The sequence below is a fragment of the Homo sapiens genome, chromosome 9 (genome assembly GCF_000001405.40).
Source record: "Homo sapiens chromosome 9, GRCh38.p14 Primary Assembly".
NCBI classification, from domain to species: domain Eukaryota; kingdom Metazoa; phylum Chordata; class Mammalia; order Primates; family Hominidae; genus Homo; species Homo sapiens.
Genome location: NC_000009.12, coordinates 124,300,844 through 124,327,105, shown reverse-complemented (window position 1 = coordinate 124,327,105; position 26,262 = coordinate 124,300,844). Strand labels below are relative to the sequence as shown.

General features: G+C 54.8%; 1 protein-coding gene across 21 annotated transcripts in view, besides 8 other annotated features; it reads right to left on the bottom strand.

The window, feature by feature from the left end:
- The window catches only part of NEK6 (NIMA related kinase 6), a 95,702-nt gene that overhangs the window by 26,202 nt on the left and 43,238 nt on the right, over positions 1 to 26,262 (bottom strand). For all 21 annotated transcript variants that reach the window (XR_007061235.1, XR_007061234.1, XR_007061237.1 and 18 more), the window contains 5 exons: positions 25,052 to 25,170; positions 14,457 to 14,597; positions 13,121 to 13,183; positions 5,537 to 5,647; positions 668 to 776 (listed from right to left, as the gene is read on the bottom strand). Coding sequence is in view for 13 of the 21 variants with exons in the window: in NM_001166167.2 (NP_001159639.1) it covers positions 668 to 776; positions 5,537 to 5,647; positions 13,121 to 13,183; positions 14,457 to 14,597; positions 25,052 to 25,170 (543 nt within the window). In the remaining 8 variants the exon portion in view is untranslated. The remainder of the gene's footprint in view (positions 1 to 667; positions 777 to 5,536; positions 5,648 to 13,120; positions 13,184 to 14,456; positions 14,598 to 25,051; positions 25,171 to 26,262) is intronic.
- Positions 1,813 to 1,862: an enhancer, noted in NCBI's record as "active region_28984". NCBI's record gives its function as "activates an Ori minimal core promoter by ATAC-STARR-seq in GM12878 lymphoblastoid cells {active_cell/tissue: GM12878}" and the evidence as "EXISTENCE:reporter gene assay evidence [ECO:0000049][PMID:35858748]".
- Positions 2,352 to 2,401: an enhancer, noted in NCBI's record as "active region_28983". NCBI's record gives its function as "activates an Ori minimal core promoter by ATAC-STARR-seq in GM12878 lymphoblastoid cells {active_cell/tissue: GM12878}" and the evidence as "EXISTENCE:reporter gene assay evidence [ECO:0000049][PMID:35858748]".
- Positions 2,412 to 2,491: an enhancer, noted in NCBI's record as "active region_28982". NCBI's record gives its function as "activates an Ori minimal core promoter by ATAC-STARR-seq in GM12878 lymphoblastoid cells {active_cell/tissue: GM12878}" and the evidence as "EXISTENCE:reporter gene assay evidence [ECO:0000049][PMID:35858748]".
- Positions 11,365 to 11,865: an enhancer, noted in NCBI's record as "H3K4me1 hESC enhancer chr9:127077520-127078020 (GRCh37/hg19 assembly coordinates)". NCBI's record gives its function as "activates a minimal SCP1, AML or CMV promoter by ChIP-STARR-seq in naive and primed H9 embryonic stem cells {active_cell/tissue: H9 hESC(naive and primed)}" and the evidence as "EXISTENCE:reporter gene assay evidence [ECO:0000049][PMID:30033119]".
- Positions 16,083 to 16,930: an enhancer, noted in NCBI's record as "H3K27ac-H3K4me1 hESC enhancer chr9:127072455-127073302 (GRCh37/hg19 assembly coordinates)". NCBI's record gives its function as "activates a minimal SCP1, AML or CMV promoter by ChIP-STARR-seq in primed H9 embryonic stem cells {active_cell/tissue: H9 hESC(primed)}" and the evidence as "EXISTENCE:reporter gene assay evidence [ECO:0000049][PMID:30033119]".
- Positions 16,083 to 17,696: a biological region, named in NCBI's record as "P300/CBP strongly-dependent group 1 enhancer GRCh37_chr9:127071689-127072888".
- Positions 16,497 to 17,696: an enhancer, noted in NCBI's record as "P300/CBP strongly-dependent group 1 enhancer chr9:127071689-127072888 (GRCh37/hg19 assembly coordinates)". NCBI's record gives its function as "activates an origin of replication core promoter dependent on BRD2, BRD4, P300/CBP, MED14 and CDK7 cofactors, with strong dependence on P300/CBP, by STARR-seq in HCT116 cells {active_cell/tissue: HCT116}" and the evidence as "EXISTENCE:reporter gene assay evidence [ECO:0000049][PMID:35650434]".
- Positions 17,779 to 18,626: an enhancer, noted in NCBI's record as "H3K27ac-H3K4me1 hESC enhancer chr9:127070759-127071606 (GRCh37/hg19 assembly coordinates)". NCBI's record gives its function as "activates a minimal SCP1, AML or CMV promoter by ChIP-STARR-seq in naive and primed H9 embryonic stem cells {active_cell/tissue: H9 hESC(naive and primed)}" and the evidence as "EXISTENCE:reporter gene assay evidence [ECO:0000049][PMID:30033119]".

Below are 26,262 nucleotides of genomic sequence, written 5' to 3'. Positions count from 1 at the left end.
TTAAGACAGCAGGGGTTTCTGTGCTCCTGTTTCCTGCTCTAGAGCTGTATCCTCCATGCCTAGAACAGTGCCTCGCACACAGGAGGCCCTCAGGGAAAATCTGCGTAATGAATGAACGGAGTGCTCAGTGGAGCACCCAGTGCCGTACCCCCCAGTGAGGGCGGGGCCTCCAATACAGCAGACACCAAGAGATACAGGTAGAGTGAAGGAACGGAGGTGTCCATGAAGCAGCCTACGTAAAGGACCTCGTGCCCTGCCGGGCACCCAGCAGGCTCCTTTCTCACAACTCGGAATCATGTCAACTGTGGAAACACCCCTCTCAGGTGCCTCCCCTTCTCAGCCCAGCCCGCTGAGACGGCAAAGCCCCCATGAAAGTCCCCTCTGTGCGAGGCTTCCTCGACCTCCCTCCCAGGCTGCTGTGGGGAACTGGAAGTGGTGTGCCAAGCGGGGCCCCTGCCCCCTGGGGCTCATGTCACTTTCCACCTCGGGGAGGTTCCTGACCCGGGCGCGTGTGTGTGCGCGGTTGCTGGGCAGCCCCCTTGCCTGGGGAATACAGAGCGGTCCAACTTCCTCAAGGGGCTGCCCCTGAGGACCCTGGAGGAGCCATGAGGAAGTGTCTTCCTGGGCTCCAGGTGGCTCCGGGCGGCTCCTGGCGGGTGGCACGTACCTCGGTGCATCACCCGGCGTGAATGCATGTGCTCCACGGCGCTGCACAGCTGCACAAAGTACTTCCATACTGTCCTCTCCGGGATGAGCCGCTTCTGCTTCTTAAAGTACTGCAGTGGGGGAGACAAGCAGAGGGATAGGCCCGGGTGAGCGGGCTTGGAGGTGGGTGGCCACAGGGCACTGCCTCTGTCCTTTCCCCAGTGGGTAACTGGTGCCTGGCAGGGGCGGGGGGGGGGGATTGAGCCACTGAGCAAACAATAAGCCCAGAACCAAGAGTGCTGTGTCCACGCCTCTACTTCTGCCTGAATGGCACTCTGCAGCCACCCTGTCCCAACCCAGCAAGCTCCGTGAGGGCCAGGCAGGCCTGGCATGTCCGGATGGCTTTGCTGCATGGACACCCAGCTCAAATATGCTGAAAGTGGCCCTCAACTGCATTTTTCCAGAACCTCCTGGACACCCCCTCCACAGGGCACTCCTTGCAAGACTGAAATGGGTGTGGACTCTCCCTGTCCCCAGCCCCAGCCTGGCCCAGGAGGGTGGCACCCAGGACACACGTGGTGGTTAAATCACAGCTGCCCCCATCTCCTCGGAACCAGCAGATCTCAGTGCACTGGAATTCTTAACAAACGCGGCGAGAACCTTGAGGAAATGGGCTTGACGCACTCAAAAGGAACCCCAGTTCCAACGGGCATCAGTCTGCTTCACTGCCTGGGAAAACATATTTAGTGCTCCAGGAAGAAAACAAAAACTAAAGGTCCCCGGCCACACTGAGTGAGCTGTAAGTAACAGAAGGTCCTGGAGAGGGCAGGCCCAGAGCATGTGACAGCCACGGCTCAGCTAGAGACGGGGGTGGCTCTCAGGTGCCAGGCCCATGCCTGTGGGGCAGGACTTCTTCACCAGCTACCTGCATACCAGCTTTTTGTGCAGGGGCTTTTTGCTTCAAAGCAACCACCTTTCCCCAAAGCAGGCAGAGGCGGCGCTGTGGGCCTGCTGGTCAGGGCAGCTGCTCTGGTGCTGGGAAGCTGGGAACTGACCAGGACACACTGGCCTGGAAAGGGGCATGGGTGGAGGAAAGGAGCTGGGCCAGCACTTTCAGACCACCTGCAGGGTGTGGCCACCATGCCGGGCCTAAGAGGGAGGGCTAGGCCCATCTTACAGACAGGGAAACGAAACTGAGGGCCACGTAGAAAGAGGCAGAAACACAGCTCAGCCCCAGGCCTCCCACCTAGAAAGCCCAAGTCCTTAGCCCACTTCTTTTTTTTTTTGAGATGGAGTCTCCCTCTGTCGCCCAGGCTGGAGTGCAGTGGCGTGATCTCAGCTCACTGCAACCTCCACCTCCTGGGTTCAAGCAATTCTCCTGCCTCAGTCTCCCGAGTAGCTGGGATTACAGGTGTGCGCCACCACGCCCAGCTATTTTTTGTATTTTTAGTAGAGATGGGGTTTCACCACGTTAGCCAGGCTGGTCTCGAACTCCTCACCTCAGGTGATCTGCCTGCCTCGGCCTCCCAAAGTGCTGGGATTACAGGCGTGAGCCACCACGCCTGGCCCCCTTAGCCCACTTCTAATAACACCAGTAACCATTGATATGGGAGACTGAGCTCAGAGGTTCAGGAACATGCCCAAGGTCACCCAGCACCCAGCTGGGACCCAGGTCTGGGTGCTTCCCACGGTGGGACAGTCGCAGTGGGGAGCCCCTGACCTCGCCGTAAATCCCCTCGAGGCTGTTCTGAGGTACAATTCTGGGAGGCCCTCTCAGGTGAGCCGTCCCAGGTCTCAGCACAGACCCCACCCCCAGGCCACCTCCAGGCCTGTGGCGGGCCAGGCCGGGATGTTATTCACGCTGTGATGTGAGTGAATCCTCATTACAGCATTTAAGCAGGGACGCGCGTGGCCGAGAGTGGTGATTTTCTAAATGTCATGTCCTATAAGCGCTGTCTGACATTTAGCGGGGAGGCGCAGAGTCTCTGGTGGGTTCTGGGGCTACGGCAGCTCCTAGCTTCACTCTTCCTCGTAAATAACTCGGGCACCATGGCTGTGATGGCGCAGCTCAGCCCTTGAGGCTGCAGGCTCTCGGGACACAATCCCTGCTGCCTGACAGCCTCTGAGGCCAGTGGGGCGACCATGGGGTATCCCCTGTTCCTCTGGAAACCCAGAGGTGGCCTGAGAGCAGGCAGAACCAGGGGAACCGAGCTCCCACCAAACCCCAGGCATTGTGCTGGTATGTTACAGATGAGGCAACTGAGGCACAGGGACCCGCCTGAGGCCATCCAGGGGACGTGTCTTACTCGAGTGGGTCTCTGCACTGCCAGGCCTCCCCTGCTGGCGGCTGCACCGAGCCAGCTCTGCAGGTGAGGGCCCCTGAGCCGGGTTGGAGGGAACGGGAGCAGGCAGGGACAGTGGGGGGAGAGAGGTGGGGACTGTGGGAGGGGGAACCATGCCAGGTGAGGAGGAAGGACCCGAGGCGTGGGGGGCCAGGTGGCTGCTCAGAAACTGAGGCCACACCCATCCTAGACTCAATCCTGCTGGGTTCATGACTGACTTGAACCCTGAGCCAGTGTTGGCTCTGGTGAAGCCAAGGAAGGGGTGCACAGGGAAGGAGACACCCCATCCCAGGCCTGGCATAGAGAAGGGATGCTGGATAGAATGCCCCCATGTCTCCTCTTCTCTCTCAGCTGAGGGAGACTGCACCTGGCCTGGGTTTCCTGCAATGCTCCCTCCAAGAGGTTCCCGGGGACAGGGTGGAAACTGAGGTTCAGGGAAGAGGGATTTGCCCAGCCCCAGCCCCCCATCTGCCTGTCTGACGGCAGCCCCACTCCGTGGACTGAGAGGCCACAGTGTCTGGGCTCCACTGGGGCTGAGAGGGTGAGGCGTCCTCTCCACGGGCTGCGTTCCCGTGTGGCAGCAGGGAGAGGCCTCTCCTTCATCTCCTGCTCCTCCTCCGTCCCTGCCCTCACCTCTCCTTCCACCCGGCCTCCAGTCTTTCTTCTAGAACACAGAGCTGACCACGTTTGTTCACCGCCATGAATCTTAGGAAGCTTCTCTGACCTTAGGGCCTGGTCCTGGACCCCGAGCCTGGAGCAACAGGCCCTACGTGATCCGGTGGTCTCCATCTCAGCTCCCTTCCCTTTCCCATCCCTGTGGGACCGTTTCTGCTTCTGGACAGCCCACCTCCCCTAACAGCTCAGCTCAGTGTCACCTCCTCCAGGAAGCCTTCTCTGACTCCCACAGGCCCTGCACATGGCTTGTTCACACTGGCTCCTAACTACTCATTCGAGGGTCTGTTTTCCTGTTAGAATCTGGGATCCCTGAGGGCAGGAGCCATGCTGGCGGCAACCCTAGTTCTTGGCATGAGGGCTGGCACACAGTGGATACACGATGCTTGTATGTTCAGCAAGGGAATCCGTGTGAAGGAGAAACAAGTAAAGCGGGGGCGGGGGAGAGGAAGAGCTAAGACATGATCTAGCACATCTGTTCCCACCAGGGATCTGTGTGCAGATTAACATCCCTGCAAAGGCATTAATATGTCAACGGAAATGTAAGAGCAGGTGATAACAGCTCAAGTAATGCCACTTCCCAGTGACGCCTGTATTCCTAGGACCCAAATTTCAGAAGAGCACTGAGCAATTGCTCAATCCCCAGTGCCTGATGGGAAAGACAGAGAACCCACATCCGGCCCCGTTTCTAAGTGCGGCTGTGAGCAGGGTGGGGGCTCCAGCGGGGCCCAGCCTCACTTGGGAGCAGGCAGGCTGCATCCAGGGTAGAGAGGTGATGGGGCCACAGCAGGGCCCTGGGGACAGAGGTCCAAGCCAGTAGGGACGTGAGGACCTCCACTAAGGAGCAGTGGAGTAGGGGCTGAAGGTTTGGGCCTGGGGGTCAGGCAGGCCTGGGGGCTTCCACCTAGAGGCTGAGGTGCCTTGGGCAGGAGACTAGACCTCTCTGAGCTTTGCTATTTGAGGACGGCGGGGACTCAGTGAGGGACGCATGAGCGTACTGGGCTGGGTGGAGGCTGGCAGGAGGTGCTGCTGTTTCACTGAAGCTGCAGTGGTCCTGGACACCAGACTCATGGTGAACTCCGCCCTGTGCCCTGGGTGGTGGGATGAGGCAGGTGAAGATGTATGTAGGGGCGTGGAGCATGAGCCAGTCCTGGCGCTGAGCCTGCCCATGTGACTCGAACAGTCACTCAATCTCTTGAAGACCCCAGGCCTGGGTGTCAGCCCTAACATGGAAATGAAGTTCCCCCTCTAGGGCTGGGGAGAGCATCTTGGGACCATGTCCACCAAAGGGTCCCAGGCCAGGAAAAGAGACCTGGGCCACAGGCATGGCTCTGTACCCACAATGCTGGGTATCCTCAGGCAAGTCTCTTAACCTCTCTGGGCTCAGTTTTCCCCTTCTTTAAAATGAGGTAGTGGATCTACAAGATGCTTTCCCAAGAGCTGGGGTCTGACCAAACGGGGTGCTGCCCCTGCTCCTTCTGTGAGGCAGGAGAAGTGGCTCATGTGCCTGTGGTAGGCTGGGGCACTGGGGGTGGCCAGAGGAGTTCCTTCTGCCCATGGCTGGCCCCCTCCCAGCCACCATCCTGTCTTGGCACCACCTTCGCCTTGCTTTTGCATATGGGCTCTTTTGAGCTGAGCTTCCCTGAGGCCAGTGGAAAGAAAGAGGCCTCCAGCAACAGCAGCTGGGGACGGACCCTGAGAGGCCCTCACCAGACTGCAGCTGAGGCCTGTGGGCATCTGCAGGGGGGCGCCCAGGGTCCCCGGGTGGCCGCCTCTGGCTAAAGGCAGAGCATTGTGGGACTGGGCTAAAGGAAGACTGCCACCTTTGGCTCCAGATCTGCGCAGCCCCCAGCACCCCCACCCCGCCAGGCGCTCACCTTGATCATCTGCGAGAGGTCCCCTGCGTCAGCCAACTCCAGCACAATGTTCAGCTCGTTGTCTTCGATAAACGAGTCCAAATACTTGATGATATTTGGGTGGTTCAGTTGCTGCATGAGGAGGGAAAGAGGGAAGGGGGCACCAAGTGAAGACGGGACAGACCCAGTGCCTGCCTGCCACCGGCACCCTGCTGGCACCCGGTCACTGAGGCCCTGGCATTTGCTAGAGAAGTGGGTCCCAGGGAAAGAAAGGCCTGTGCTGGGGAGTCAGGAAGGCCTGGGTGACACTGGGAAAGCCACTTTGCATCCCCAAGTCTCAGATTCCTCATCTGTAAAACTGGCATAATGTTTTGAAGCATAGTTGTGAAGACGACATGGGTCAATACTCTTGAAATGTGTAACAGGGCAGCCGCACAGAGCTATGTGAGACTCAGCATGGACTTGTGGAAAGGACCCTCCCCCTCCTCCTCACCACCCCGACCCTGAGGGCGGCATTGGGCCCCACCTCTCTGTCCCTGTGCCCAGACACGGCCAGCCTGCAGGTGCTCCTCAGAAGGACCATCTCCTGCCTTCATCCTTCCCACTCTTTCTCAATTCCTGACCTATCTCTTGTAAAATCATTTTTTTTAAAATATTTTTTTGTAGAGATAGGATCTCACTATGTTGCCCTGATTGAAACTGAACTTCTAGGTTCAAGCGATCCTCCCACCTCACCCTCCTGAGCAGTTGGGACTACGGCTGCATGCCACCATGCCTGGCCCTTGTGAAATGTTGAAAAAAATCCCTGGAGGCATGAGAGCTGCCCGGCTGATTTGCTCATGCTGAGACGCTGCCTCTGTCCTTCGCACCACCGCCTGCATGTTTGCTGCAGTGGAGCATGGAGCTGGACAGAACGGTGCCCCCCTGGCTGGAAGTCAGGCCCTCCAGGCTAAGAGGAGCCCCTGGCATCTGTTCATAACAAAGCTGACTGTTTATATCAAAGAGACTCCAGGATCTGGGAAAGCAGAGGGGACTCGAATATCCTGCCCTGGTGTGGGTGTGGTCAGCCTAGTCCAGACACCAGCCAACCACCAGAGGCCGATAGTGAGCACATTTCCCAAAAGGCCCGGAAGTCGTTGGGAGAAGGATGCACTGTGCCCATCCGTGGATTCTAAAATGAGGGGAGCCTGGGCAGATGTTACAGAGCCATGCAAGCCCCTATTCATTCATTCATTCATTCCCCAAGCCAGCCCCCCATGTGTGGGCCCTGGGGGCCAGAGCAGGCTCAGCCACTGGCCCCAGCTCCTCCCCATGCGTCCATCCTCTCACCAGGTCCCCCCAGAGACTGATCCCTGTCTGCTATGGCGCCCACTGCCTGTCCAAGTCCTCAAACCCCTGCTCTGGACCAAGGTCTGGCCCTGAGGTGGGTGTGCTGGCCCCTGCCTGCCCCTCAGCCAGCAGCGCTGTGGCTCAGTGAATATCCAGACACCACTGCGAGGAACCAGGCACCCTGCACAGCTGAGGACGCAGGTGCAGCACATTCAATCCTGGTTCCCAGGGGTGGCTGGGAGGGAGCCCTGTTGCCATCTTAGCAGCAGGCTCCCCTGTGGAAGAACCTTGGTCAGTAACAAATGTAGGTAATTTACACAGGGTGACTAGACTTCAGAAGGCGGCACACAAAGCAATCCTAAGCAAAAAGAACAAACCTGGAGGCATCACGTTACTGGACTTCAAACTATACTACAAGCCTATGGTAACCAAAACAGCATGGTACTGGTACAAAAATAGATACATAGACCAATGGAACAGAATATAGAACTCAGAAATAAAGCAGCATACCTACAACCACCTGATCTTCAACAAAGTTGACAAAAATAAGCAATGGGGAAAGGACTCCCTACTCAATTAACTGGCTAGCTATATGCAGAAGAATGAAACGGAACCCCTACTTTTCACCATGTGTAAAAATTAAATCAAGATTGATTGAAGACTTAAATGTAAGACCTCAAACTATAAAAATCCTAGAAGAAAACCTAGGAAATACCTTTCTCAGCGTTAGCCTTGACAAAGAATTTAAGACCAAGTCCTTAAAAACCATTGCAACAAAACCAAAAACTGACAAGTGGGACATAATTAAATGAAAGAGCTTCTGCATGGCAAATGAAATGATCAACAGAGTAAACAGACAATTGACAGAATGGGAGAAAACATTCATAAACTATGCATCTGACAAAGGACTAATGTCCAGAATCTATAAGGAACTTAAATCAATAAAAAAAAACAAAACATTAAAAAGTGAGCAGAGGAGGCTGGACATGGTGGCTCACGCCTGTAATCCCAGCACTTTGGGAGGCTGAGGTGGGCGGATCATTGAGATCAGGAGTTCGAGACCAGCCTGGCCAACATGGCAAAACCCCATTTCTACTAAAAATACGAAAATTAGCCAGGCATGGTGGCAGGTGCCTGTAGTCACAGCTACTCGAGAGGTTGGGGCAGGAGAATCGCTTGAACCTGGGAGGCGGAGGTTGCAGTGAGCTGAGATTGTGCCACTGCACTCCAGTTTGGGTGACAGAGTGAGATTCTAAAAATAATAAAAATAAAAATAAAAAATAAGTAAATAGGCTGGGCGCAGTGGCTCACGCCTGTAATCCTAGCACTTTGGGAGGCCAAGGTGGGTGGATCACCTGAAGTCAGGAGTTCAAGACCAGCCTGGCCAACATGGTGAAACTCCGTCTCTACTAAAATACAACAATTAGCCGAGCATGATGGTGGGTGCCTGTAATCCCAGCTACTCAGGAGGCTGAGATGGGAGAATCGCTTGAACCCGGGAGACGGTGGTTGCAGTGAGCCAAGATCATGCCACTGCACTCCAGCCTGGGTGGCTGAGCAAGACTCTGTCTCAAAATAAAAAATAAATAAATAAAAATAAAATAAAGAGTAGGAAGAGGACATGAACAGTGATTCTTCAAAAGAAGACATACAAGCAACTAACAAACAGGAAAAAAATGCCCAACATCACTAATCATCAGAGAAATGTAAATCAAAACCACAATAGGCTGGGTGCAGGGGCTCATGCCTATAATGCCAGCACTTCATGAGGCTGAAGTGGGAGGGCTGCTTGAGCCCAGGAGTTTGAGAACAGCCTGGGCAACAGAGTGAGACCTTGTCACTACAAAAAAAAATTAGCTGGGCTTCGTGGTGCAGGCCTGTAGCCCAAGCTACTTGGGAGGTTAAGGTGGGAAGATCACTTGATTCTGGGAGGCTGATGCTGCAGTGAGCCATGATCACACCACTGCACTCCAGCTTAGATGATAGGGTGTGACCCAGTCTCAAAAAAAAAAAATTACAATGAGATACCATTTCACACCAGTCAGAATGGCAATTATTACGAAGTCAAAAAATAACAGATGTTGGTGAGGCTGCGAAGAAAAGGGAACACTTCTATGCTTTTGGTAGGAATGTAAATTTGTTCAGACACCGTGGAACAAAGTCTGGAAATTTCTCAAAGAACTAAAAATAGAACTACCATTTGACCCAGCAATCCCATTACTGGGTATATACCCAAAGGAATATAAATGGTTCTACCAAAAAGACACATGGGTTTGTATGTCCATCACGGCGCTATTCATAAAAGCAAAGACACCGAATCAATCTAGGTGCGCAGAAATGGTGGGCCGGATAAAGAAAATGTGGTACATGTATACAATAGAATATTATGCAGCCACAACAAAGAATAAAAGTCATGTCCTTTGCAGCAACACGGATGCAGCAGGAGGCCATTATCCTAAGAGAAATAACACAGAAACATATCTATACTGCATGTTCTCACTTTTATAAGTGGGAGCTAAATCCTGGGTACACACAAACATAAAGATGGAAACAGTAGACACACTGGGCTCTACAAGAGGGGGCGGGAGTGGGGCAAGGGCTGAAAAACTTCCCATTGGGTATGATGTTCACTATCTGCGTGACGGGATCAGAAGCCCAAATCTCAGCATCACACAATATACTCTTGTAACAAACCTGCATGTGTACCCTCTGAATCTAAAATAAAAATGGAAATTTAAAAAAGAAGGTGGGCCAGACGTGGTGGCTCATGTCTGTAATGCCAGCACTTTGGGAGGCCGAGGCGGGTGGATCACCTGAGGTCAGGCGTTCAAGACCAGCCTGGCCAACATGGTGAAACCCCGTCTCTACAAAAACACAAAAATTAGCCGGGTGTGGTGGTGCACACCTGTTATTCCAGCTACTCGGAGGTTGTAGTGAGCCGAGATCGCACCACGGCACTCCAGCCTGGGTGACAGAGCGAGACCCTGTTATCAAAAAAGGAAAGAAAGAAAAGAAAATCCTCTTGCCCAGATTTTGTGTTGAAAAGGACGTCCTGCGCGAACACTGGCCATCACATCGCTGCCCTCAGCACACATCATGCTCCATAGACATGTTTTTCAGTTACCAAAAAAAGTGTCAAAGCAAGTGAATGGCAAGTTGAAAGTGCCTTCAAATCTCTGAGACATGACCTACGGCGTGGGCAAGCTGCTATGAGGATAAATGGGAACACCCTGCTCCTTCACCCTCCTCTTGAACTTCACCTCATTATGTCACCAGGAAATCTCACAACCTCTCAGGGAGGACTCCCCAAAAACTGCCCAGGTCATCAGCAGTCCAGGCATGACACAGTTTCTCCAACAAGGGAGAAATGAGAGGGGTTGGGTAGGAAGTAAAGCCCCATCAAGGAGGCGCTGGTTCCTGGGGAGGGGAGGAGGGAGACTCCTCCCCCATTTCCCTGCACGTCTGAGGGCAGGGGGTTAAGGAAGGGCTCCCTTAAATGCCCAGGCAGTCTACACAGGCACAGGCAGAAAGGGGCTCCAGACGTCCATTGGGCTAAATCGCCAAGGTCCAGAGAGGGGAAGGGATCAGCCACGGGTCCACAGCAAGCAGGGGCCGAGCTGAGTCTAGAACCTGGTCCACATGGAGTCCACTTCACAGCCTGTGGCCTCTTGGTGGGCCCAGGTGGGTCTGGAAGGGGACACACTTGGGTCAGGGACAGGGAAGGTGCTGCAAAGACGCAATGTGGTTGGGCTTTGTCTGGCTGTGGTGGTGGCCAGAGGGAAGGGAGGGAGAGCTGAGAGTAAGGGTCCCTGTCCTTTGAATCTCTGCCATCAGGGGCTCTGCTCCCAAGCTCCAGGCCCTCCCGGATGTAACACAGAGTGTCTATGATCTGTCTTCTCCACTGGGCTGCACCCTGGTGTCCAGCATTCAGTGGTGATCAGAAATTGCACAGAATGAATGAACACACGCCTGCGTTCCAACAGGACCCACCTTCTTGTCCCACGCTTGGCAGCTGCCGACCCCACCAGCCCCCGCACTTGAGAGGTTTTGGGTTTGGGTTCTTTGCATGAATGATGTGATATGTCAACAGTCACCCCTCCGAAAACCACGTTTCCTTTTGTTTTGTAGGAAGCACCTCGTGCCCTGGCACATCCTGTTGACTTCCCATGGGCTACCTGTGGAGTGGGACCCGTGTTCGGGAAGGCGGCTGGCATTGGCGGGCAGAGGTGGCAACCATGACAACTGGGCTGCCTTGGGCGGCGAGCGTACCACACACCAGCGCTGCCCTGAGCTCGTCAGACATGCTTCCTCACTGACTCCTCCAGCGTCCCTGTTGTCATCATGCCCCCTTTACAGATGAGGAAACTGAGGTCCTGAGAGGCCCATGGCTGGCCTGCAGCCACACAGCTAGTGAGCGAGGGGTGTGTCCTCTGAAACCCCGGCTTGGTGCCCTTGGCTGCATGGCAGCCCTGGAGAAGGGACCAAATCCCCTCTGCAGCCATGTGGGTTTACGCCAGGCTCAGGCTCCTGCAAGGCAGGGGCTGCGGTGGCACATCTGTGTGACCAGGGACCAGACCAGGCTGTGCTCAGCATGCTCACCTGTGGGTTCCTTCACTCGGGGAGAAGGGCACATGAGGTGGGGAGGGGGCAATGGGTGATCAGGACAAACATTCCTCAGGGCTGGGTAAGTGGCAGCAAGCTGACCATTACTTAAACATTTAAACAATGTTTTCGAGGGATATTTTTTGACCTATAATAGTTAGTGGTAAGGACACCTCCTGCCTCCAGCCTTGACTCCCTCACCCACTGTGGCCGGGGGCCACCAGAGCAGGCACTCACAACTCACACCCAGCCATGGCCCCCCGACTTGCAGCCACTTCAGGGGCTCCCCTTTTGTTCTGAGTGTGTATCTGGCTCTGCTGCCATGTCCAGCCTTCTGTCTCCCCAACCTCCCATAATCCACGGTGCTGCGGTGCCTGGAAGAAGGCTCACTTCGGCCTTCCAGATTCTGGGATGGTGCCCTGCCCTCTGTGAGGCCTGCCCAGGAAGCGGGTTTCCCTGGGGCTCCTGGCCCACCAGTCAATCTGCATCACCCTGGAAGGTCACCATCTGCTTCCTACCTGCTTCCCCACCAGCCTGGAAGTCCCCAAGAGCAGGGCCAAGGCCTGAGAACACAGGGCAGCGTGTGGCAGAAAAAACTGCTAATCTGAAATTCTGCAGCTGTGGCTTCGGCGGGCAGCCCTGCCACCAGCAGTCCCACTTTGCTGGAAACTGCCGAGCAAATCCAGTATGTTTCATGGGGGGCCGGGTGCGGTGGCTCCCGCCTGTAATCCCAGCACTTTGGGAGGCTGAGGTGGATGGATCACCTGAGGTCAGGAGGTTGAGACCAGGCTGGTCAACATGGTGAAACGCTGTCTCTACTAAAAATATGAAAATTAGCTGGGTGTGGTGGTGGGTGCCTGTAATCCCAGGAGACTGAGACAGGAGAACTGCTTGAACCGAGAAGGTGGGGATTGCAGTGAGCAGAGATTGTGCCACTGCACTCCAGCCTGGGCAACAAGAGCAAAACTCTGTCTCAAAAAAAAACAAAAGAAATAAAAAATAAAAATCAGGTGTGGTGGCATGCGCCTGTGGTCCCAGCTACTCGGGAGACTGAGGCGGGAGGATTGCTTGAGCCCAGGAGTTTGAGGCTGCAGTGAGCTATGATCATGCCACTGCACTACAGTCCAGGCAACAGAGTTTGCCTCTAAAATAAAAAAAAAACCCACCACCACCACCACCACCACCACTACCAACAAAACCAAAGAAAAAGGCTGAGAGGAGAGATGGAAAGAGGATGAGAAAGAGAAAAACAGGGAGACAGACATAGAGACAGAGGCAGAGCCAGACAGGCTGCAGTCTGGATGTGGTCCCCACAATGAACTCCTCCCCTAGCCAAGCCTGGTCCATAGGCCACTGCGAGGCAGGGTCAGGGCTGCCCTGTGGGGAAGGACTTCTATGCCGGGTACTGCCATGTACAAGCAGGAGGGGCGTGCAGCAAGGAGGAAAGGCTGTAGGCAGCGACCCCAAGGGCTGGGCAGAGCGATGAGGCGGGCCGCTCCTGCCTGGCCAGGAGAAAACTCACTAGCCGCTGCCCCTAGAAAGCTATCGTCTGTTAACTTAGCAGGGGCTGCGGATTCCTGGCACCCAAGGGCTGTGATGGACATGATGTGGCCCAGCCGCGGCCCCAGAACCTCCCCGAGGAGGCAAAGCTCCCGCTCGGCCCAGGGTGCTCACCTTCAAGAGGCCGATCTCCTTGACACAGTCCTGCCTCGCCTTGGCGTCCATCATCTCAAAGATCTTGGGCGGGAGGAAAAAGAGAAATAGAGTGGTTACAATCTGTGTCCAGTGACCCAAAGGAGGCCACGGGGTCTGCTTTCCAGTCCCGGCTCTCCCACCTCCTCACCAAGGGACTCTGTGACCCCCCCCTGCACTCCCAGCCCCTGTAGGGCTTGCTCACTGTGGGTCCCCCCAGCACTGTCCCACCACAAAACCCATCGTGGCACTAAAGAACCAAGACAGAGAGCCCAGGTGAGCCCCTCCCCAGAAGATGGAGAGGGCGGGCCAGGCACAGTGGCTCACACCTGTAATCCCAGCGAGGCTGAGGTGGGTGGATCACTTGAGGTCAGGAGTTCGAGACCAGCCTGGCCAACATGGTGAAACCCCGTCTCTACTAAAAATATAAAAATTAGCTGGGTGTGGTGGTGCACGCCTGTAGTCCCAGCTACTCAAGAGACCTAGGCAGGAGAATCGCTTGAACCCGGGAGGCAGAGGTTGCAGTGAGCTGATCACGCCACTGCACTACAGCCTGGGTGATAGACTGAGACTCTATCTCAAAAAAAAAACAAGATCAAGAGAGAAACTGGTCCTTTTTTGGACAGAGAGGACCCTGCTACTCCTCCAGCGCCCTGAAGCTGCGGGTGTTCTCTCCCCATTTCCCCAACGCCATTCTCTCTCCCGGCCCTCCTCTGCCCAGGCTCTCAATCTTGTTCTTTAAGGACAAGTAAGCAAATCAAGGGGCTTGGGAAGCTTTGCTGGAGGATTTAAAGCCATTTCCTCCGGCAAAGCTGTGTTCAGACGGGCCCAGCGGCTCTCATGGACATGGCTCCTGTCCTGACTTTGCCGCTTGACCTACTTCCTCCATTTAGGAGGGACGCAGAAGGCAGGAAGCCCAGAACTGTGGAGCAACCGCAGGCGCAAGGATGGGTGGACATGGTATGAACCTCAGCTCCCCCAAGACTCATGCTGGGGCCCTGGCGGTTATGAGATTTTCCTCATCTGAGAGATGAAATGACAATCCCCACCCACGGGACTGTTGAGAGGCTCCATGTGCTCCTTGCATGACCCAGTACACAGCAGGCGCTCAATGCATGCTCGTTTTTCTTTTCCTTTGCAGTTCACAGTGAACTTTCATCAATAGGAGTCCACCTGGTTCTCTCTGTAACCCAGTGAGTTGAGTGCTGTTTCCCTCGTTCACAGAAGAGGGGAGAGAAGGGACTGGCCCGGGCACCCCGTCCAGATGCAGAGACCACCTCCCGAGATGCAGGTTTGACCCCACGGGTTGTCAGCTCACCTGCACCTTCTTCAGAGCCACTGTCTTCCTGTCCAGCAGGCAGGTGGCCTTGTACACCTCGCTGAACTGTCCTCGGCCTATCTTCTTTTCGATCTGGAAGTCCGCCAGCGAGCAGCGAAAAGACAGCGTGTTGGGATGCCTCTGGAACGGGGGACAGAGGGCCTCCGTGAGCAGCCAGGCTGCAGCAGAGGCCTGGGGACGACCCCTAGAGGCCCAGCACCCCAACAGCACCCTCTAAGGTGAAGGAGGGACTCTGCTGCCAACCCTGCTCTGGGAGCCTCCCAGGCACCCCCCCAGGGGGCTTTCTGCACAGGGTCCCCTGGGTCCCCTCAAGGACCCCCAGTGCAGGTGAAAAACTGAGGCTGTTCATGCTCCCCACTGCCCTCATCACCACCTTCATTGTCTGACTGCTTGTTTGTTTGCTGTCTCTGAGTCCCATCCCTGGGGGCTAGCTCCGTGGGACCACGGGCGTTGCCCGTCTCATCCTCTCCTGAATCCTTGATGCCCAAACTGGGGTCCGGTAAGCCGGGTGCAGCTCATGTATCCCCAGCCCGTGGCCACCATGCAAAATGCCCCAGGTCATCATAAGAAATGGCAAGTTCCCTTCCTGGGGCAGCCGTTCCCCATCTCAGACAAGAAAACCAAGGTTAATATTCATAGCCTTGGCCAGGTGTGGTGGCTCACGCCTGTAATCCCAGCATTTTGGGAGCTGAGGCGGGAGTTCGAGAGGTCAGGAGTTCGAGACCAGCCTGGCCAACATGGCGAAACCCTGTCTCCACTAAAAATATAAAAATTAGCTGGGTGTGGTGGCCCATGCCTATAATTCCAGCTACTCAGGAGGCTGAGGCATGAGAATCGCTTGAACCCAGGAGGCAGAGGTTGCAGTGAGCAGAGATCATGCCACTGCACTCCAGCCTGGGTGATGGAGACTCTGTCCCCCTCTCAAAAAAATGTGCAGCCTTACACCCTGAGCCCATCCTTTAGATAAACTGCCTTTTTTAGGGTGTCGTGAAGAAACCAGAGCTCCACAAAGACTCTGCAGGGGCCAGCATTGGAACACATGATCCTGCGCTAGGACCTGCCCAGGGATGGAGCCTCCAGGTGAGACCACAGTGGCCAGGAGGACCCCAGGACACCTGTGCAGTGAGCTCTCAGGAAAAGGCAGGAGGGGGCGCCAACAGTGGGCCAGGGAAGGAGGAGACAGACAAGGGGAGAGGATGCCACATCTCTGGCCTGCCCTATGGTGAGATGGGCCCGGCTGTGTCTCCATTTGCCTGATGAGGAAACTGAGGCCCAGAGGGGCCAGCCATGCCCACATCACCCAGCTCCATGCCACCGCCCCTAGTGAAGCCAGAACAAGCAGTTCAACTTTCTAGCATGAAGTGGGTCTTTGGTGAGGGTCACACTGAGCCGGGCACCGTACCGAGGCGTCTTTAGGAGCCAGCACCCTGGCGGAAGGCATCAAGACCAAACCGAGAACTACAGGACTGGCCCTTCTGACAGCTGCTTCCCCACCTGGAAACACCAGGAACTGCTGGCCGGACCAGCTGCGTCTCAGCCTGAGATGCCTGCGGAGCAGGGGCACGTCTCCTGGGCAGGTCTAAGCTGGGTCCATCAACTTCTCCTCTGTCCTTCTCCCAGAGTGCCTGAGGGGAACCTGGTTATGTGGTGATCCCTACTCTGGGACCCTGAATCATGACTTAATGAATAATAGAAACTCACTGGAAAAGCAGGGAAAAAAGTAAAGTGAAAATGTCTCTTCTAGGCCAGGCGCAGTGGCTCACGCCTGTAATCCCAGCACTGTGGGAGGCCGAGGCGGGCGATCACTTAAGGTCAGGAGTTTGAGACCAGCCTGGCCAAAAAATTTTTGTAAAAACACAAAAATTAGCCGGGTGTGGTGGTGGGTGCCTGTAAATCCCAGCCATTTGGGAGGCCGAGGCAGGAGAATTGCTTGAACCTGGGAGGCGGAGGTTGCAGTTGGCCTAGATCGTGCTACTGCACTCCAGCCTGGGTGACGGTGAGACTCCATCTCAAAAAAAAGAAAATGTCTCTTCCAGATTTGGCTGAGGGAACTCTACAGAACACCCTCCTGCGGGAGTGAGTGATGGGAGTCCAGGCCTCACAGCACACAGCAAGGTGAGGGCTGGGCCAACCTTGACTTTGAAGCCTCGAGGCCTAATTACCTCTCATGGTGGGTCCTGCCAGAGGACCCGATCTGGAGGGCTGCTGGAGGAGGAAGATGATGATTTTATCCACCATGTGCCAATGTCTGTCGGGTAAATACACCTGTACACAGAGCACCCACCTAAGAAGAGCAGGCATCCTGAGTGTCTACTGCATGCTGGGCTCTGTGCAGACACCGCCCACGCGCCCACTCTTTGGGTCCTCAGAACAACCCTGTGAGTGGGCCTCACTGCTGTCCCCATTTCAGGAATCTGAGGCTTGGAGGGGTAGCAGTGACCTGTTCTGATCAGGCAGCAAAGAACAGCAGAGCTGGGGTGTGACCCCAGGACTGGGGACTGTGGTGCCCAAGCTCTTGCTCCGTATCGGGTGGGCTCTCAGCTCAGATCCCTCCTCGGCTTTTCACTCAAGACCCCCTGACCGGCCAGGCCTGCCACTTCCTGCTCCAGCCTCCATTCTTTCAGTCACCTGAGCCCTGCCCCAGGCCCCGCCCCAGGACCCGCCACCGGCCTCTTCAAAAGGGGGCCCCTGTCTAGTCCCCTCCACGTCCTCTGCACTGAGGCTCTGACCCCAGAGCAACTGCTTGGAGCATGTTTGTGGAATGACACATGGAATGTGCCTGACACGACCTGGCGCACAGTGGGACTCTGTGACTCAGACGCCGTCACCTCTAGGAATGCAGCCAAAATCACATACCCTCATAAACAGCCAGGGCGGCTTTCTGAGCACTTAGAAGAATCGCACGTACTCATAAAAATAACCATGAGGTGTTGTACGTTAGACGCCTACTATGTGCTAGTTTCCAGCTGCTTAGACAGCTCTATGTCTCCAAACTCCTAATAGCTTCATGAAGCAAGGGTTATGAATCCCATCTCGCAAATCAGGAAACAGGCTAGAACTCCCTGTCAGATCTAGAGCCAGCTGCACTGCTGGTGATGGGGGTGGGCTCCCTCCCCTCTTGGGCCTCAGTTTCCCCCAGGCACAGTGAAGGGTTTGGAGGAAGTGGTCCCTGAGGGTCTTTGCCCTGGAAGACCAGGCTTCTTACTGTGACTAGTGGGAGTCTGGCCGGGGTTCCCAACACTGCCCGTCCTGGGAGGCTACACCGTGCAGCTCCACAGTGGGGCCGAAGCTCCTGGTGGATGTGGGTGGAGGTGGCTGGGGCTCCAGCTGCTCACACGCATATGGATGACCCAGATTTGCATTTCTTGTCACAGTCCATCCGACCCAATTAGAGGCCAGCTCCTCTGGTGGGGCAGCTTCCTAGATGGAGCACGTGTGCTGGGGACATGGTCCAGCAGGCTCTGGGGCACCACTGCACTCCCAGGGCTGCCACAGGACGCTGTCCCCAGGGTGGCCTCTGCTCAGGTGTGGGGCACCTTGAGACACCAGGCTCCTGGGGGCAGCTGCCTGGGCCAGCAGAGTCCTGGCCCTGGTGCACCTGGGGGCTCTCAGCAGAAGGGAAAGGGTGAACTGTGTCCTTGGCCTGGAAGGCCTGGCTGCTCCGTCGCCACCTCCAAGACCTCCCCCGCTCCTGGGTCAGCTCCCCGCAAGTTCCACTTTTGCCCCTGCAGCCAAGTGACCCTGGGCTGGTCGTCCACACACAGGCACAGTAACACTGGCTCCAGGATTTCTCTGAGGACTCTGGGAGATGATGTTGGTGATTAGTGTCTGGTGTGGCTCTAAACTGCAAGACGGGCGTGGGGCTGGCCCCAGAACAGTGCGCCCAGGGTGGCCCCAAATGTGATCACTGCTGACTAATGACCGACCACCCCGATGGCCTTTCAGAAAACTGGTTTTTTTTTTTTTTTTTTTGAGATAGAGTTTTGCTCTTGTCACCCAGGCTGGAGCGCTGTGGCGCGATCTCGGCTCATTGCAATCTCCGCCTCCCGGGTTCAAGCGATTCTCCTGCCTCAGCCTCCCAAGTAGCTGGGGAGTAGCAGGTGCCCGCCACCACACTGGGCTAAATTTTTTGTATTTTTAGTAGAGATGGGGTTTCACCATGTTGGCCAGGCTGGTCTTGAACACCTGACCTCAGGTGATCCACCTGCCTCGGCCTCCCAAAGTGCTGGGATTACAGGTGTGAGCTACCTCACCCAGCCCAGAAAACTGGTTTCTGTTGCTCACTGTCCCTGCTTTGTGTGAAACCCTGTTGTGGCTCCTGGGGAAAATAACACCCCCAACCCCACCCCAGGGCACAAGTTGGCAGAGGGGTAACCACTGCTCTGGCTCTGATGTTGAGACTCCAATGCTGGGGCCTGGAGGCTGGGGCTCAAACCTCAATTCTGCCACTTCCCAGCTGTGGGCCTTGGGCAAGGCTTCTGGGCCTCAGTTTCCTCTTTGGAAACTGAGGAGATCATAACAGTACCCCCTTCAGGGGGCTGCTGGGGGTTAAATGGATAAGCAAATGCAAGCCCTTGGAAGAGGGCCTGGCACTAGGTGCTGGGACATGTCATTCTCCAGTCGTGGTGACGGTGATTGTGCTGCTATCTGTCGAATGGGCCTAGTGGTGGACCTGCTTCCCCGGGGACTGGGACGGCCTGAGCAGTGGACAAGCCCAGGGGGTTCTTGGCTGTTGATATCATCACCCTGCCGTTCCCACCCCTCGGCGGCTGGCGGTAACCTTGGGGGCTGCAGTGAGGCGGTGGGGCTGACGACGTGCACCTGTGGGCAGGTAAGAGACACAACCTTGCGACTTTGTCACCCAGGACCATTTGTCAAGGGACCATGCTAGGCAAGAGCTGCCCTCAGCCTCCCTTCCAGGGCTGCGCTGTGGGGCAACACCATAGGAGGCCACCTCTGACTCCTCAGGCTCCTCTGCCAGGGCACGGAGGCCCTCAGCTCTCCCCAAAGGCAGAGGAGACTGATCGAGGGGCCGGGGGACAGGGAGGCTGACCCTGCGGTGTCACCACTCGCTGTGCTGCCTGTCACCGTGGGCACGAGGGAGAAGGCCTGGGCTGCCTGGGGCAGGCACATGGGATTTGAGAGGAGGAGGGTGGAGGAACCGCTGGAACAAGGGCCCTGGGGAGCAGCAGGAAACTGGTGAGCAGGAGCCAATGAGATGGCCAAGGTCCCCGAGCCACCGCCATCCCAATCCCACCTCCCAAGAAATGTCGCTGGCATTCTCAGGAAGAGGCAGGGCATGACTGGGAGACTGGGGGGCAGGGAGGATGTCTCAGACCACTATAGCTACCCCCCACCCAGAAAGCTCTGAGAAACCCACGCTGTCTTCTCCAAGTCAGATCAAATTAGGCCACAAACACCCCCCACCCTGCGCTAATTTGAGTTTAAAATGTTTGAACCACAATCAGCCTCAGCCATAGACGAATCTTTTTTTTTTTAAACAGGAGCATAAAATTACATGCTAAAAGAATAAAAATGCATTCGCCCAATTAATTTTCTGAAATCTCATTAAAAAATTTAGCCTGACTAAGTCAGACTTCTGACCTGAATTTTAATCATCTTTACACTGGATGGGTCTTTTTTCCCTGATATTTGCAATGCATCATTAATTTTAAGGCAACCGTTTCTATGATTTTAAAAAGCACACTTCATCAGGATGACATTTCTTATAAACGAATTTCACCTTTAAAGACATCTGACACTGTGGGTAGGGAAACTCTAATGGATTTGGTAGATGTGTATATAGCGATATATTTTAAATCTGTGTTGCACAAAAGGGCACAATTTACAAAGAGTTCACATTGTCAGACTTCTTCTGAGGCCAGCCCAGCTCAGCTCCTCACGATCTGCCTAACTTCAGACCCAAAGCCCATCTTCCCTTTCAAAGATCTAGCTGCCCAAAGCGGCACTGTGGGGTCCCATGGGCCTGGACCCAATCCCAACTCTGCCCCTTGACGGTGCGATGGCAGATTATGACATCAGCTTCCTTCCCTGCAAAATAGAGCATTGAGTAAGCAACTCCTCTGAGTCAGCAGGAGTACTAAGTGAGATGAGTCCCAGGCACTGGGCTGTTGGTACAAACACCACCATTACTGGCTCAGCTAAGACGTCTGCACCGCACTCCGTGGGCCACTGGCTCATGGGATCAGTGAGCCAATGCCCATCGCATGGAAGACTCCTAATAACAAAACCCAAAACGATCTAAATCATTATGGTTCCCCCAGGACAATTCTCATTAACAGAGTCTGGAAAAAGCTAAGCTTACACATACGAAAGATGATATGGAACCAGCTCCGACGACTCACAAGCAGAGACATAAAGGGCGAAACCACAAAGAGTTCCAGCTGCCACTCCTGACAACCCCTCTCCCTCATCCCTTCCACTACCAAGTGAGGCTGCTTTCCCCTGGAAGTCTCTGGAACCCTCTCTCCCCATGTCCAGCCCCCAGTGCTGTAGCCCCATGAGGCATCATCTCACCTGGTGAAGAAGGGGCCTCCTCACCTCCCTATTTTCACCTTCCCTGAGCCTTGAGCACGAGCCACCAGTGATCTATCTAGAACCCAACCCAAGTACCCCCTTGCCACCTGAAAACCCATAATGGGCTCCTCATTTGCTACAGATTCAATTTCAAATGAGATAGTATGGATTTGAGACCTTCATAAACACCATACATTCTTTTACCTTCTCTAAGCATAGGTATTTCAACAACTTCTCTAACCTGATTGGCCATGCACCTTCAGGTCTGGGGCCTCTCCCTGTCCCACCCCAAATTCCTGATCATCTATCTAGCAGAACTGGCCTCCCCATTCTCTGGGCTCTCCCAGCATCTGTCCATCCCTCCCGGGGAGCTTCCACCTCTCTGCAACATGCAGAGCTTCTCAGCAGACTGGGAGCCCCCAAAGGCAGGCACTGGGCACTTCCCATGGCAGGAAAAAAACCCCAAAAAAACAGTTGCTGAATTGACAGCAGTTAGCAGACACTGAATTTCTTTTCTTTTTCTTTTTTTTTTTTTTTTGAGATGGGGTCTCACTCTGTTGCCCAGGCTGGAGTGCAATGGTGCAATCTCGGCTCACTGCAACCTCTGCCTCCCAGGTTGAAGCGATTCTCATGCCTTGGCCTCCCAAGTAGCTGAGATTACAGGTGAACACCACCACGCCCAGCTAATTTTTATATTTTTAGTAGAGACAGGGTTTCACCATGTTGCCCAGGTTGGTCTTGAACTCCAGACTCAGGTGATCCATCCACCTTGGCCTCCCGAAGTGCTGGGATTACAGGTGTGAGCCACCGTGCCCGGCCCACTAACTGAATTTTAATAGCCATTGATATTTGGTCATTAAACCTTAACCAACTAGCATCACTGCTTTGGGAAGATTCTGATAAAGATTTTGGCCTGTGCAATGCACACCTAGAAAGAGCTGACCCAATCCCCTGCGAAGTTCTCTCGGAAGAGCACCCAAATATAACTGAACTTGGCACATCCCAACTGGCTTTGCAAAGACTTTCCAGATGGAAGACACATTAGCCGGGGCTTTCTCAGGCAAGAATACCTTTCCCCTTCTTGGAAATTCACGTGGTTCTTAGTGTGTCAGGTGAGGCTTACACTTCATTCCCAATGAAAGCTCTCTGCAGCACATTGGTAAAATTTAAAAAGCATGAGGCATTTTAAGCTTCTTTCCTCAATTCCATTCATTCATTCATTAGAAACCTCTATAAAAGCAAGTATGTTCAGCTTTCCTAAGTATATATGAATTTCATATATGGTTCTGCCGGTTTCAGCAAATATTTTTTCATGTGCTGCTGGCTCTCAAGGCTAGAAAGCTTCCTGAAATGAACAAGCCACTAGCCTTGGGCATAGCAGGTTAACAAAAACCACAGTTCAGGTGGTTGTAGTTTCTTTCTTTCTACACTGGGGGTATTATCCAGCTCGGAGGCCTTTAGCTATGAAAACAGAAATGGTTTTTAAAATATAAGATCCATGACATACCATTTCCTCAGTACCCACGATGTGAGGTGCTGTGTTGGATGTTTACAGTAACTATCTCACTTAGTCTTCACAGCCGCCTCATGAGGGAAGCGGCATTATTATCCCATTTTATAGATGAGGAAACTGAGGCTCAGAGAGGTTGCTTTCCTAGTCTCACCCGGCTAATGAGAGACGGAGAGCTGGGTGCGGAAACAGCCTGGCCCACATCAAAGCATTCTTAGCCTGGCTCCTTCCTCTGAGGATGGTTTCAGGGAAGCAGCGGTGCCTCCTGCTATCAAGGAAAATGCCTGGCCCATTAATTCCAGGTGCTTCTATGTCCTGAAACAGGCGAGACACGGCTGGGATGTCTCCCCAGACAGTGTTTAAATCCCCAAGGCTTCAGGAGCCGAGGAGAAAGTCCCCCTTTCCCATCCCAACCTGGAGCCGGCACGGCACATGGGTGGCCTTGCGCCCCCATTCTGCAAACCCAGCCAGATGCTGGTGGGACTGGGGGCATCGTTGCCCGACAGCCGCTGCCCAGAGCAGCCCAGCTCCGAGTAATCGTAACTAATTACACTTAACTATGTCATTACCCTCTCCAACATGAACGATGAGACGTCGTGAACGCTGCCACTGCAGCCCACCGCCTCTTCACCTTGCTCATGAAATAATTACAGGGCCCTCTCCTCTGCCAAATGAGGTTGTAATTAACCCTAATTGCTCAAAATGCAACTGGCTAATTCTGGGAGATTAATCAAGGGGGATTCAATTGTTAGTGAATGACTTAATATGACAAATTGCTACATTACCCGAGGAGGCCCTGCTGCCCCCAGCCATCAGCACCATGTCCTGGTAGACTCTGGACCCACAGTGTCCTGGGGCTTCCCAGCTTTCTGGGATCTGCCTCCCCAAATTCTACCTAGGAAATGGGCCCCTGCATGAGTACAAATAGCATAGATGCCCCATGGACCCTCTGCATGCTTGTGTGTATGCATATACACACACCCCCACCAGATACACACACAAACATAGTGTCCACTAAGCTCAACGTGTCGCCTCTGTGTCAATCTGCAGCATCACCGCCCTCCTTGGGCTGATGCAGCTGTCCACCAGGGAGCATGGCTTGGTGATAATGCAAGCACAGGAGAAGGATTTCAGACCTACCTGCCTCCTTAGCCCAGAAGCTTTGTGCAGTGCATAACCTGTACAACTGTACATGGCAACCTTGCCATTGAGGTCAAACATCAGCCAATCTGAAGTCTTCCAAGAGGGATTAGGCAGTTAGAAGCTGTAATCAAGCCCTCCATGGCTCAGGAGGGTGGCTATCTCTGAACCTCCCCTGAATTTAGGTCTCACATCCTTTGGAGAAAAAGCCAACACCATATAAGAGAACTTTTCATCATTCTAAGCTGGCCACAGGACCCTACAGGATCTGGCTCTGCTCAACCTGCCCAGACAAGCTCTCTGTCCCCTCCAGGCCTTTGCATGCCACTTCCATGAGGAAGCCTCTCTGGCCCCGGATCAGGTGCCTTGCTGGGCTCCCTAGGCCCGCAAGGTTCTTCTGCTCAGCTCCTTATCTTTCTCTCCCATGAGGCTGTGTGCTCCGTAAGAGCAGACCTGAGTGTTTTCCACACAGCCCCGTCCCAAGTGGGTACACAGCACACACATGCACAGTTCCTTAACTCAGCGAGCACGCGGGGCCCCTCTGTGCCCGGTGTGGGATTGTCCCACCAGCAAAGCCCTGCTCCAGGGGAGCTCTCCATCTAGAAAGTGAGGCAGACCCAGGAACTAGTGCCCCAGTGAGATGTGATCACGGGCATCACCCAGGTGTGTGGACACAGGTGTGCGGGCAGCCCAGAGCAGAGAGCAGGGTGGAAGTGGAGGTCTCCCCAGAGGGAGCAGCATTTGCACTGACTTGGAAGAGGGGTCAGAGAGGGCGTGCCAGGCCCGGGCAGCATGGGGTACACAAGGCAGTTCAGAAACCTACAAGTCACCTTCAGAAAAGCTGCTGAAGGCTGCCTGGCTCTCCAAGGTATCTAGAGAGAGCGAGAGGCAGGCGTTAAGAAGCCAGTGTTCTCCCAAACTCTGCTGGTTCTAGAAGAGGCTGAAGGGGGCTGAAACACAGTTAAGACCAAAATGGGAGGCAATGTTGGCTCACTGTAAGAAAGAATTTTCTGACCCACAGTACAGTCAGCCCATTCCTCTGAGTCCCTCGCTGTTCTCAGGGCCTCCACAGCACCCTCTGTACCCTTCCAACCATGCTGATCCCTGAGATAAAGCTGTTCCATCCACTTGGAACACTCCAGGGGCAGGATCAGGGTGCAGGGTCCCAGCCTAGAGCTTGGCAGAGGAGGCTTCTCTGAGTATTACTGAATTCAACGATGAGCTCACTAGATTTGGTAGCGAGCTCCCCATCACTGGAAGCATTCAAGAGGTTCTGTTTCAGGGAGCTGAAGGGTTTCCACCAGTAGGAGTTTGGACAAAGGAGGCTCAGGGATCCGTATTCCTTGGGAACTCTTCAGTGTGCTGCAGACAAAGGTAAGGGGCTTACCTGTGGGTCAGGAGGATGCACAGGCCCCAGGGTGTGGCAGAGGTTGTTGGAACTCCCTCCATGGGGCATGTGGCCGGGCTGTCCTGCCATCCTGCATGCCAGCCTCACGAGGGCACGAACTGCAACAGAAAACAGCGGCCTGTTCACTTTCTCTTTGAGACCCTCAGAAGGAGGAGGGACTTTCGCTCACCCCATTTTACAGATGCGTGAGCTGAGGTGCAAAGCCGTTCAGTAATTTGCCCACGGTCACCCAGCTCCGAAGTGGCAGGGCTACAACTTGACACCCCCGGGTGACACAGTCTCCTTCTGTTAGACTGTCCTAAGTCACTAGGATTATCCCCACTGGAAGAGGCTCCAGGCAGGGAAACGTCCATCAGCAGCCCCCAAGGCCAGGAAGGAAGACACCGGATTCAACCCCACATTTGCTGGAGTCCAAAGACTTGTTCTTTCCACAGCACTGCCCCTGCTTCTTGGGGAGCAGTTCTGTACCCCTATCCCCCATTGTCACCCCCACCTATACCCATGCTGGCAGCCTGGGTGCTCAGAAGAGAAAGGCCTGGGTCAGGCTGCAGACAGCTGCTGTGGGAAGGAACCTACGTCCTTGTCCTGGCTGGGCCCTGGCGCACCACACGTGTGACACAGGGAAGGCCAGGGCCAAGAGGTCCTGTTTGCCGTCCTACTTAGACCTCTGTGCAAAGGAACAGCCCCCCTCAGCCTCCAGGGCTTGGGCTGCCCTGGGAGAGTCAGAGATGCTGGTCATAGGTAGTCACAGCAGCCACAGGCCCCTGGTTAAGCACCCACTGTGTGCCCAGTCCTGAGCTCAAGGCCATCTGGGCATCTCCCCCAATATTTTAGCCTCTGGCCTCCCCCATCAGACAAGTGCTTCTGGGGCAGGGTCTGAGGTTATGTGCATAGAACCTGTGTGACCCAGCCACCGGGATGCTTCCTGATGCCAGGGGAAAAGCCCTCCTCCTCCCCAGAAGGAGAGACCTGCGCTCACCCCACAAGCATTTCTGCAGCACCTCCTGTGTGCCAGGGCTCCCACATGGTGTGCATGGAAGGGACTAGATCACACATGTGATGGGGCCCCTGTTTCTGGCTGCTGCTCCTTCTCCCAGACAAGCCCTGGATGTCCCGAGGGGCACCTCTCATGTGACCACATCCTAGGCAGAACCCCTTGAGGCCTGGCCTAGGCTCCTGGAGCAGCTCAG